This window comes from Homo sapiens, chromosome 14 (genome assembly GCF_000001405.40).
Source record: "Homo sapiens chromosome 14, GRCh38.p14 Primary Assembly".
Classification (NCBI taxonomy): domain Eukaryota; kingdom Metazoa; phylum Chordata; class Mammalia; order Primates; family Hominidae; genus Homo; species Homo sapiens.
This window is the reverse complement of record NC_000014.9, coordinates 22957107-22969861: the sequence shown is the minus strand read 5'-3', so window position 1 is coordinate 22969861 and position 12755 is coordinate 22957107. Positions and strand designations below refer to the sequence as shown.

Here is a 12755-nt window from a genome sequence, read left to right as displayed (position 1 = left end):
ACAATTATGGCTCACTGCAATCTCTGCCTCCCGGGTTCAAGCGATTCTCCCGCCTCAGCCTCCCAAGTAGCTGGGACTACAGGTGTGCACAACCATGACTGGCTAAGTTTAAAAAATTTTTTTTTAGAGACAGCATCTCACTATGTTGCCCAGGCTGGTCTTGAATTTCTGGCCTCAAGTGATCTCCCACTTTGGCCTCCTAAGTCACTGGGATTACAAGCATGAGCTTCTGTGCCCAGCTCCTGACCCTTTGTTTCTTACTCTGATTTTGGCCTCTTCTGTTCCTGATCCGACTCATTCCTTTCTAGGTCTGTGCTGATTGTCCTAGCCTTGGGGCTCCCCAAGACTCTGTTCTTGCCACTGAGGCTACTTCTTCCTGAGGAAAAATAAATGATAACAGCTGATAAGGGCAGGCCATGAAAAAAGAGCAGTCCTAGCCACCCCAGCACCATCACTGGCAGGCTCCCAGGTGTACCCTGCATCACAAGAGCTTCCCTTCTTCCTATTTGCTGGGAGACTAATCCTCCTCAATATTTCTGTTTAGTATTTACAGTTTTTTAGTATTTACAGTTGATGATGAAAGATTCGTGAGGTGCTGCCAAATATACATCAAAAGGTGGAGCTTGTTTGGCCAACTTGCCACCTGATTTAATCAACAACTACTAGTGCTGAGATGCAGAAAGGGGGAAAATGGAGGAATTATGGACCAAGTCTGTCTTTATAGATGACAGTCACAGGACAAGGGTTAGGCTTTGACTGCAGACTTCAGTCTTTGCTCTGGCCAGCCCTGTTCACCACAGGCCTGAATGGGTTATCAAAAATAAAGCTGGTGGCCGGGCGCGGTGGCTCACATCTGTAATCCCAGCACTTTGGGAGGCTGAGGCAGGTAGAACACCTGAGGTCAGGAGTTTGAGACCAGCCTGGCCAACATGGTGAAACGCTATCTCTACTAAAAACACAAAAAATTAGTCAGGCGTGGTAGTGGGAGCCTGTAATCCCAGCTACTCGGGAGGCTGAGGCAGGAGAATGGCGTGAACCTGGGAGGTGAAGCTTGCGGTGAGCCGAGATCATGCCACTGCACTCCAGCCTGGGCGACAGAGCGAGACTCCGTCTCAAAGAAAAAAAAAAAAAAAAGCCGGGCGCAGTGGCTCACACCTGTAATCCCAGCACTTTGGGAGACCGAGGTGGGTGGATCATGAGGTCAGAAGATCAAGACCATCCTGGCTAACACGGTGAAACCCTGTCTCTACTAAAAAATACAAAAAAATTAGCCGGGCGTGGTGGTGAGTGCCTGTGGTCCCAGCTACTCGGGAGGCAGAGGCTGGAGAATGGCATGAACCCGGGAGGCGGAGCTTGCAGTGAGCCAAGATCGTGCCACTGCACTCCAGCCTGGGCAACAGAGCAAGACTCCATCTCAAAAAATAAAAAAAATAAAAAAAATAAATAAATCTGGTGATGGTTTTCTCTCTGCCTTACTCCTTAGAGAGTATCTTCCCCTCCACCACTTGGAGCTCTCTCAGGACCAGGGAAATGGTAAGATGCCATTTATAATCAGGCTGGAGACTGTCCTCAGTCAAGGAGGATGTAGAGAAAGACCTACTTCCAAGCACATAAAGCCAGCTGGATGAGAACCTTCAGACTGTACCTATAAAGAAGGGAATAAAAAGAGGAAAAGGGGCCGGGTGCAGTGGCTCACGCCTGTAATCCCAGCACTTTGGGAGGCCGAGGCCAGCAGATCACCTGAGGTCAGGAGTTCGAGACCAGCCTGGCCAACATGGTGAAATGCCATCTCTACTAAAAATACAACAATTAGCTGGGCGTGGTGGCGGGCACCTGTAGTCCCAGTTACTCGGGAGGCTGAGGCAGGTGAATCGCTTGAACCCGGGAGGTAGAGCTTGCAGTGAGCCAAGATCAGGCCACTGCACTCCAGCCTGGGCGACAGAGCAAGACTCTGTCTCAAAAAAAAGGGGGACCACGTGCGGTGGCTCAGGCCTGTAATCCCAGCACTTTGGGAGGCTGAGGCGGGCAGATCACGAGGTCAGGAGATCGAGACCATCCTGGCTAACACGGTGAAAACCCCATCTCTACTAAAAATACAAAAAATTAGTTGGGTGTGGTGGCGGGTGCCTGTAGTCCCAGCTACTCTGGAGGCTGAGGCAGGAGAATGGCGTGAACCCAGGAGGCGGAGCTTGCAGTGATCCGAGATCACACCACTGCATTCCAGCCTGGGTGACAGAGTGAGACTCCATCTCAAAAAAAAGGAAAAGGATGGCCAGGCACAGTGGCTCATGCCTGTAATCCCAGCACTTTGGAAGGCTGAGGTGGGAGGATCGCTTGAGTCCAGGAGTTCAACACCAGCCTGGGCCACATAGTGGGACCCTGACTCTACAAAAATAAAAAAGTTAGCCAGGAGTGGTGTCGTATGTCTGTAGTTCCAGCTGCTCTGGAGGCTGAGGTGGGAGGGTCACTTGAGCCTGGGAGGTTGAGGCTGTACTGAGCCATGATGGTGCCTCTGCACTCCAGCCTGGGCAACAGAGTGAGACCCCTGTGTCAAAAAACAAACAAACAAAAAAAAACAGAAAAGAACCAAAGGACTGAAATAAGATTAGAAGAAACAGGTAAGCTAAGGCGTTATTTAGTTTTGTGATGTAGAAGTTCCCATGCCCCCAGAGTTGGTCTGGGGTCATTCAGAGCCCTTATGGTAAAGTTCCATGAAAAGAGTCTAACCAATCTCAGTTCTCTCTGCCCTCTCCTACCTTACAGTGAGGAATACCTAAGAATGGGTTTCTTGCTTCTATAGGGGCCTCTGGAATATCCACACTTGGCACTGGTTGTGAAGGACTGAAGTTTTACCTTGAAAACATGAGCAAATCTTTACTGGGACATATAGATTAGACCAGAATAACTGTGATGATAGGAGAGTCATCAGAGACAAATTCTGTTTACTGTGGGTGTCATTTCACCTACAATTGACCTTACTTGGAAAGCATAGTGCTAATCCACGGGAAGGGAACCAGGTTACCATCCAAGCAGGGAGCGATGGTTAATAAAAGATACCAGTCAGGCTTAGACGGTTCAAACCAAGTGGGATGTGATTTTCGAGATAACCCAGTCACCTCATTTTACTGAATGAAGAATAGAAACTGAGTGATGATGTCACTTTCCCAAGGTCACACAGCTGGATAATGACTTTCCAACTTTTGAAGACCAATAAAGGGCCGTTTGCCTTCCTCCCTTCTTCCACCCCCTTTCATAGGGATTCCCACAGCACAAGTAAACTGTAAAGGTTTACGTATTGTAAATGAGATAAGCACTTCATTATGATAGAGAATTAGGGAAACTTTTAGTGGGAAAGCCGGGGAACACAAGCAGCAATAATGAAAACGTCTGGTTCTTACCGATGTTTTTTTTTGTTCATTAGGACTAGCAGTAGCCAAAGTACCTTTAAAAGCACACTAGGAGAAACAGGGTGGGTGCAGTAGCTCACGCCTGTAATCTCAGCACTTTGGGAGGCCGAGGTGACTGGATCATTTGAGGTCAGGAGTTTGAGACTGGCCTGGCCAACATGGTGAAACCCCTGTCTCTAATAAAAATACAAAAATTAGCTGGGTGTGGTGGCTCATTCGTGTAGTCCCAGCTACTCTGGAGGCTGAGGCACGAGAATCACTTGAGTCCAGGAGACAGAGGTTGCAGTGAGCTGAGATTGCGCCACCACACTCCAGCCTTGGTGACAGAGTAAGACTCTGTCTAAAAAAAAAAAAAAAAAAAAGGAGGCAGGGCATGGTGGCTCACGCCTGTAATCCCAGCACTTTGGACTTTGGGAGGCCAAGGCGGGTGGATCACCTGAGGTCAGGAGTTTGAGACCAGCCTGGTCAACATGGTGAAATCCCATCTCTACTAAAAATATAAAAAATTAGCCGGGTGTGGTAGTGGGCGCCTGTAATCCCAGCTACTCAGGAGGCTGAGGCAGGAGAATTGCTTGAACCCAGGAGACGGAGGTTGCCGTGAGCCAGCATGGTCCCACTGCACTCCAGCCTGGGTGACAAAGTGAGACTCCGTCTCAAAAAAAAAAAAAAAAAAAAAAACACATTAGGAGAAGCAAAGGAAATATACTGAGAGTCCCTGTCCTTGAGGAGGTCACAGTCTAGCCAGGGAGACAAATGAATGCATAAAATGACTTGAAAAGATTACAAGCAACATGTCAACAATTGCAAAGTAATTATTAGAAACAAAAGGCCAGGCATGGTGCCTCACGCTTGTAATCCCAGCACTTTGGGAGGTGGAGATGGGAGGATTGCTTGAGGCCAGCCTGATCAACATAGCAAGACCCCATCTCTATTCAAAAATTTTAAAAAGGCTGGGCGTGGGCCAGCCATGGTGGCTCACGCCTGTAATCCCAGCACTTTGGGAGGCCGAGGCAGGTGGATCACCTAAGGTTGAGAGTTCGAGACCAGCCTGACCAACATGGAGAAACCGTGTCTCCACTAAAAATACAAAATTAGCCGGGCGTGGTGGCGCATGCCTGTAATCCCAGCTACTCGGGAGGCTGAGGCAGGAGAATCACTTGAACCTGGGAGGTGGAGGTTGTGGTGAGCTGAGATCATGCCATTGCACTCCAGCCTGGGCAACAAGAGCGAAACTCGGTCTTAAAAAAAAAAAAGGACTGGCCGTGGTGGCTCACGCCTGTAATCCCAGCCCTTTGGGAGGCTGAGGCAGGTAGATCACTTGAAGTCAGGAGTTCGAAACCAGCCTGGCCAACATGGTGAAACCCCGTCTCTACTAAAAAACAAAAATTAGCTGGGCATGGTGGTATAAGCTTGTAACCCCAGCTACTTGGGAGGCTGAGGCAGGAGAATTACTTGAACCCCGGAAGCTGAGGTTGCAGTGAGCCGAGATTGCGCCACTGCACTCCAGCCTGGGCGACAGAGCGAAACTCTGTCTCAAAATAAATAAATAAATAAATAAATAAAATAAAAAAAAAAAAAACTGGTTGCCAACATTTATAACAGAAATTTCACATAAAAATCTGGATATTTTATATGAAGAGCTGGATTTCTAAGGTTTTGTTTGTTTGTTTGTTTTTTTAATAATCAGAAGATCTGTCATCCCTGAGCTTCCATTCCCACATGGCAGCAATCATTCTGTCATGACTCTGGACCCATCATCACTCTGTACCCTACGGCATTAGGTCCAGTTGTCCACTGGGACTGAATGATGGCTGCTCCTTTGTTTGGTGTAGTCTCTTCTTTGTCAGTCTCCACCACTCTGAAGTCTGCACCCTTCACACATTATTTACCCTCCTGGCTCCTGTAGACTTTTGGGTCAGTATCCCATGATTTGTATGATTCTGATGGGCTCCCTCCCCATCAAACCTTCCATTATTAATCATTTGAAGAAAGCAATAAATTAGTTTTGAAATGCTGCCCAAGAAATGCATCCATTTCAGAATTATCTGTGCCTGGGTTTTTTTATAAGGCAATTCAGTCATGGGAAACCCTGCTGGAATAATCTACTTGGCTACTATGGCTGCATACTGCAAATTAACTGAGCAAAATTTCCCTTCGATAAGTGGAATATAGAAAGTCTACTAAGTTGCTAACTTTCTCAAGGTTTTGCTTTTTTTGCCATAATACCTTAATCATAGGAGGCGTTTCAAAATTCACAATGTGTGTTCTTCCCAAGCATGAAACTCCAAATGTCCTTTAGTTGTTCTATTTCTCCCACTGGTTCTGATATAATTTTTAAAGGAGAATATCTCTTTCATGTGCAACTTGGTATAAAACAGTGTCACCACCAGCTTAAAATCCAAGGAGGCCAGGCATGGTGGCTCACACCTGTAATCCCAGCACTTTGAGAGGCCAAGGAGGGCGGATCACGAGGTCAGGAGATTGATACCATCCTGGCTAACACGGTGAAACCCCGTATCTACTAAAAAATACAAAAAATTAGCCGGGTGTGGTGGCGGGTGCCTGTAGTCCCAGCTACTCAGGAGGCTGAGGCAGGAGAATGGTGTGAACCTGGGAGGCGGAGCTTGCAGTGAGCCGAAATCGCACCACTGCACTCCAGCCTGGGCGACAGAGCGAGACTCTGTCTCAAAAAACAAACAAACAAACAAAAATCCAAGGAAAGCTGGATGCAGTGGCTCATGTCTGTAGTGCCAGGACTTCGGGAGGCTGAGGCTCAAGAAGATGGCTTGAGGCCAGAAGTTCGAGACCAGCCCAGCAACATAGTGAGACCCTGTCTCTACAAAAAATTTAAAAAACTACTGGGGCATGGTGGTGCATGCCTGTAGTCCCAGCTACTTGGGAGGCTGAGAAGGGAGGATCCCTTGAGCTAAGGAGTTTGAGGCTGCAGTGACCCATGCACTGCAGCCTGGGTGACTGAAACCGGTGCCACTGCACTTCAGCCTGGGTGACAGTGAGACCCTGTCTCTAAATTAATTAATTAAAATCCAGGGAAATACTTTTATCACCCTGGCACACGCTTTCAAGTTATAGCAGCATACTCAATCATTATAACAAGAATTGCCCACCTTGTGCTTCATGTCTAGCTTTTCAAAATGATACTGGTCTTCCCCTCCTGAATCAGTTTCCTTTATAGTCTCATATTCCTTTAAAAATGGTTTCAATCTGTCCCATTTTTGAGCCAAATTTCTTAGCTTTTCTTTGAGCTCTAAAATTTTCTATCAGGCCTACTTCATATACTAGTTCACAATAGTGTCTCAAAGTAAAACCAGGCTCATTCTAGTTTGTATAACAGAAATTTCTGTGAACAGACAGGCAACCCTTGAAGCCTCAAGGGCCTAGCTTTGAAATCCCCTTGGAGGTGTTAAGCAATTGAAAAAATGGCACATTATGAACATTTGTTCTAAAATTTTCATTTGATGTCATAGGTTGATTACATATTTTTTTATCCACTTGTTTTCTTCTTAAATTATGTGCTTACAGTAGGCATGAAATTTTCTAGCTTAATCATCAATAGTTGTAGCTCTGAATACCTTCATTTTCCAGTGAACAATCTTGAAAATAAATCTAAAATCTCTTGACTGCATGTAAAATTTTTTATTTCTGAAACTAGTTTCTCAGTCCATATAATATCAGAATGTATTCAAATACTTTCAAAGTGATATGGCTTATTTTTCAAGTTTTTCTAAATTATTGATCAGTTAAATATGATTCCAGCCAGTCACGGTGGCTCATACGCGTAATCCCAACACTTTAGGAGGCCAAGGCAAGTAGATCACTTGAGCCCAGGAGTTCAAGACCAGCCTGGAAAACATAGCAAGATACTGTCTCTACTAAAGACAAAAAAGTAACTGGTCTTGGTGGCATGTGCCTGGAATTCCAGCTACTTAGGAGGCTGAGGTGGGAGGATCACCCGAGCCTGGGAGGTCAAGGCTGCAGTGAGCTGTGATCATACCTCTGCGAGACAGAGAGACACCCTGTCTCCAAAAAAAAACAACAACAGTGATTCCAAGTTCCAATGCTATTTTAATGTCTTAGCTTTGCAACTGGTTATTGAAGCCCATATTTTTAGTGAGAACATATTCTACTCAAAGATTTCTATTGGTATCATAAATACTCACAGTACTCACAGTACTAAATACTAAATACTAGTACTAAAATACTCAGTACTAGTACTCACAGTACTAAATACTCACCTGGAATTTCTCTCTGGAATTTTTGTTTCCCGGCCTTAGTGTGGGAGGCAAAGTGCCTGCAATGTTCTTACAAATCTCCATTCTCTGCAATTCTAAACAATGCAGCAAAAGAATGTCCAAGTCTGAAAGGTTATGTAGACTTTTTCTCAGACTCTCATTTACATTTATCACTAAATTAAAAACATACATGAATAGTTTTTAGAAGACCAGGTCAACAGCAATGTCTGAAACGGTAGAGTTGGATTGAGGGCAGGAGTTATGTCTAATTTATCTTCCTACACCCTGACCTCCCACCCTTACAGGAGTCTAGCTCAGGAATACTTGAGTATGTTCTTGGCTTTATCATTAAAGAGCATTTAAGAAGTGAATGATTGTATTTTGCATATGGCATAACAGAAGGTGAGATGAACAACACTAATGAAAGGACAGGCCTATAAAAGCCAAGCATTCCATGGAATAAACAAAGCGATGTAAGGTATTTGTAGTGTGGTTGTGGCCGAAAATTCGTTTTTCAACAAATAAGTGCCTCACTGGAACTCGGAACCAACAATTAAGTATGGAGATAGGTACCCTGGGGCTGTTAGAAGCACCTCCTTAAATATAAACCCAAACAAATTAAGGTTTTGTTTTTGTTTTTTGTTTTTGTTTTTTTGAGACAGAGTCTTGCTCTGTTGCCCAGGCTGGAGTGCAATGGCACGATCTCGGCTCACTGCAACCTCTGCCTCCCAGGTCCAAGCGATTCTCTTGCCTCAGTCTCCTGAGTAGCTGGGATTACAGGGCACCTGCCACCACTCCCGGCTAATTTTTGTATTTTTAGTAGAGACAGAGTTTCACCATGTTGGTCAGGCTGGTCTCGAACTGCTGACCTCGTGATCCGCCCACCTCGGCCTCCCAAAGTGCTGGGATTACAGGCGTGAGCCACCGCACCCGGCCCAAATTAAGGTTTTAAATAGGATTTCATATTTATCAGCAATAAAATGACATTAACTTAAAAATGAATTGGTCGGGCGTGGTAGCTCATGCCTGTAATCCCAGCACTTTGGGAGACCAAGGTGGGAGGATCACTGGAGCCCAAGAGTTCGAGACCAGCCTGGGCAACATAGTGAGACCCCAACATAGAGAGTACATCTTTATTTGATTCAATTTACATAAGATTCTAGAAAGTCCAAACTATTCTATAGTGACAGAAAACAGAGTTGATGGTTGAGTAGGGCAGGGAGAAGCTAGAGAAAAGAATTACGTACGGGCACAGGTAAACTTTTAGAGTGTGATACATATGTTCACTATCTTGATCTTGGTGATGGTTTCACACATATATAGTTATATCAAAATGTATTGAATTGTACACTTTAAATACTGTGTGCCAAAATACCTCAATGAAGCTGTTTTTTAAAATTCTGGCAAAAAAGAGGGAAAGAGAAGGACAGAGGGAGAGAGAGAGAGAGAATATGAATGAATTCTAGGTCCTTTCTTACAATTCTTTCTTGTTCAAGGACACCGGATGGTGTCTGATTATAAACTTTTTTTCCCAGCACTTCACTGCACTCTTTTTTTTTTTTTTTTTTTTTTTGAGATGGAGTCTCTCTCTGTCGCCCAGGCTGGAGTGCAGTGGTGCAATCTCCGCTCACTGCAAGCTCCGCCTCCTGGGTTGACGCCATTCTCCTGGCTTAGCCTCCTGAGTAGCTGGGATTACAGGCACCCGCCACCACGCCCAGCTGATTTTTTGTATTTTTAGTAGAGACGGGGTTTCACCGTGTTAGCCAAGATGGTCTTGATTTCCTGACCTCGTGATCTGCCTGCCTCGGCCTCCCAAAGTGCTGGGATTACAGGCTTGAGCCACCGCACCCGGCCTTTGCTGCATTTTTAACTGCCAGGATGGACTATAGGCTTAACTTTCCAGTCTTACGTAGAGCTGGCCTATAAAATCCTTCACTTCGGTTGGTCCTGTCTCCTCTTGGACCTAGAATGCAGTTTATACTCCCCTTGTCTCTGCTTCCATTTGCTGGGATGTTTCCTTCATTCTAAATGATCCAAATTTTCTCTATCCTTTCAGGCCCAATGAAAGTAAGATTTATTTCATCTATTCTATCCTATCTATTTCTGCAGAAAGAATTCTGTACCTTCTTCATGTTTCTCTAGTATTTATAATCTAAACTGCTCTTTTGACACCAGTTTGCTGCCTTGTATTATTTGCTTTTCATGTGCATACGTCTTATCTTTTAGATTATGAACATCTTTGGGGCAAGGACTGGGCCATATTTAGCTTTGTGTCTCTCCCAAGGCACTTAATAGGTGCATAATAAGTGTCAATTTAAAACACCTCACTTTTAGTCTTTCCAATGCACTTTCTCAGCCATTATCTCATTTGATCATTACATCGACACTATGAGATTGGAGGAGCTAGAAATAAGTTATTTCCTCCTTTTGACAGATAAGGACCCTGAAGCCCAAGGTCACACAACTTGTAGAGACAGAGATGGAACAGATAATTGCACATGAAGGTCTGATCCAATTCAAGGCTTCTTTGCATCACTATCCCCTCTGTCCTCCTACCTGAAGACAGCTTGCTCCATCCTTCACCCCCTCATTCCCCAAAGTACTTTAGCCAAAGCTTCGTAGTACCATATTAGAGAACTTGACAAATCTGAGAGACAAAATTTCAGTAGATTTCCGATCAGCTCTGAGTCACCAAAGCATACTTGCTATTTTGTTCCAAGTGCCGTTTGCTATGGACATTATGCCTGATATTTAACTTTGCTGTGCTTCAGAGCTGAGGAAGCATAAATGATTTTTAAAAGCTTCAGAAAATGACAGCAGTTCAATATTAAGCATGAAAGGTGGCAGCTGATGAGCTGACCAAGAATATAAAATTTCTTCACTGGACCACACCATTCCTCTATGCATATTAATAGAATTCTGTAGCTGGTACTGAAGGAAAAGGCGAAACTCCCCATCTCTCAGCACACCTAACGGAGATTCCTTTCCTATCACTCCAGGCTATCACCTTATCTAATGTAAAAGATGTGATATACTTGGCACAGTTTACTTAGTATTGCATATTTTCTTTTTGTATTTTTTTTTTGTAGAGATGGGGATCGTCTCGCCATGTGGCCCAGGCTGGTCTCGAACTCCTGGGCTCAAGTGATCCTCCTGCCTCGGCCTCCCAAAGTGCTGGGTCAGGCATGAGCCACTGCACCCCGCCTAAACATTTTCTTTATTTTTAATTTTTATTTATTTTTAATTTTTTTCGAGACCGAGTCTCACTCTGTTGCCCAGGCTGGAGTGCAGTGGCACGATCTCAGGTCACTGCAACCTCCGCCTCCTGGGTTCAAGCGATTCTCCTGCCTCAGCCTCTGGAGCTAATTTTTTGTATTTTTAGTAGAGACGGGGGTCTCACCAGGTTGGCCAGCCTGGTCTCAAACTCCTGACTTCACGTGATCCGCCCGCCTCAGCCTCCCAAAGTGCTGGGATTACAGGCGTGAGCCACCATGCCCAGCTCTTTATTTTTTTAAATTTATATTTTTGAAATAATTCACCGAAGGTGTGGGTGGGAGTGAGGGTTGGGTTTAAGGTTAAGACAGGTGGGCCGGGCGCGGTGGCTCATGCCTGTAATCCCAGCACTTTGGGAGGCCGAGGCGGGCGGATCACGAGGTCAGGAGACTGAGACCATCCTGGCCAACGTGGTGAAACCCCGTCTCTACTAAAAATACAAAAAAAATTACCTGGGCGTGGTGGCGCCCGCCTGTAGTCCCAGCTACTCAGGAGGCTGAGGCAGGAGAATCGCTTGAACCCGGGAGGTGAAGGTTGCAGAGATCGCGCCACTGCACTCCAGCCTGGCAACAGAGCAAGACTCCGTCTGGAAAAAAAAAAAAAAAAAGATTAAGACAGGTGAAAGATATTTGGCCGGGCAGATTGCTTGAGGTCAGGAGTGCGAGACCATCCTGGCCAATATTGTGAAACTCTGTCTCTACTAAAAATATAAAAATTAGCCAGGCGTGGTGGCTCGTGCGGGTAATCCCAGCTACTCAGGAGGCTAGGGCAGGAGAATCGCTTGAACCTGGGAGGTGGAGGTTGCGGTGAGCCGAGATCGTGCCACTGCGCTCCAGCCTGGGCAACAAGTGCGAAACTCCGTACCCCCAAGAAAACAAACAAACAAACAAACAAAACAGGCGAATGAGGAATGCGCGCTAATAGGGAGTCTGTGGTGGGAATTCGAGAGGAAGGTGACCCTGAGGAAGCACTGTATGGTGCCCGGCATGGGCTGGGCTGGGCTGGGCTGGGCTGGGCGGCAGCGCCTCAGAGCCAGGCCTTAGTGAGGAGACTCGCAGGACGCGGCTTGGGTGGCAGGTCTGGGAAGGTTCCTTCCGAGAGCTATTGGGACAGGTTTAGACCCCCCAAATGGCGACCTCGAACTTAACCCTTTGTGCCTCAGTTCTCCCCCTCTGTAAAATGAGTATAATGGTGACTTTCTCACAGGACGCTTTAAGAACTAAACGAGGCCTGGCCGAGGGCGGTAGCTCACGCCTGTAATCCCAGCACTTTGGGAGGCCGAGGCGGGTGGATCACGAGGTCAGGAGATCCAGATCATCCTGGCTAACACGGTGAAACCCCGTCTCTACTAAAAATACAACAATTAGCCGGGCGTGGTGGCGGGCACCTGTAATCCCAGCTACTCGTGAGGCTGAGGCAGAGAATTGCTTGAACCCGGGAGGCGGAGCTTGCAGCGAGCCGATATTGCGCCACTGCACCCCAGCCTGGGCGACAGAGCGAGACTCCGTCTCAAAAAAAAAACGAGGCAAGGCAAGCAAAATGCTTGGCGTAGTGCCTGACTCATCGTAGGCCCTCAATAAATGTTAGCAATTACCACCATTTTCTCAGCATCTGCCCTTCACTGGGGAGGCACTAATGAGAAGGGGCAAAAAAGCCTTTCCGAGACCATCCTGTTTCCCAGTCCGGGTTCCACCACCCGAGCATGCGAACCCAGGGCGTTGGGAACCCAGCGCGCACCCGTCGAGGGGCGGGGCCTGCCGTTCCCGCCTCGAGTGTGGCCCCGCCTCCACCTCCTTCGTCGCGGCCTCTAGTGCACTTTCGGCTC

At 46.4% G+C, this 12755-nt stretch overlaps 4 annotated features.

The window, feature by feature from the left end:
- Positions 11250–11610: a silencer, noted in NCBI's record as "fragment chr14:23427461-23427821 (GRCh37/hg19 assembly coordinates)". NCBI's record gives its function as "represses an EF-1alpha promoter that drives an FKBP-Casp9 reporter gene in an ReSE screen in K562 erythroleukemia cells {active_cell/tissue: K562}" and the evidence as "EXISTENCE:reporter gene assay evidence [ECO:0000049][PMID:32094911]".
- Positions 11250–11988: a biological region, named in NCBI's record as "H3K4me1 hESC enhancer GRCh37_chr14:23427083-23427661".
- Positions 11410–11988: an enhancer, noted in NCBI's record as "H3K4me1 hESC enhancer chr14:23427083-23427661 (GRCh37/hg19 assembly coordinates)". NCBI's record gives its function as "activates a minimal SCP1, AML or CMV promoter by ChIP-STARR-seq in primed H9 embryonic stem cells {active_cell/tissue: H9 hESC(primed)}" and the evidence as "EXISTENCE:reporter gene assay evidence [ECO:0000049][PMID:30033119]".
- Positions 11989–12568: an enhancer, noted in NCBI's record as "H3K27ac-H3K4me1 hESC enhancer chr14:23426503-23427082 (GRCh37/hg19 assembly coordinates)". NCBI's record gives its function as "activates a minimal SCP1, AML or CMV promoter by ChIP-STARR-seq in naive and primed H9 embryonic stem cells {active_cell/tissue: H9 hESC(naive and primed)}" and the evidence as "EXISTENCE:reporter gene assay evidence [ECO:0000049][PMID:30033119]".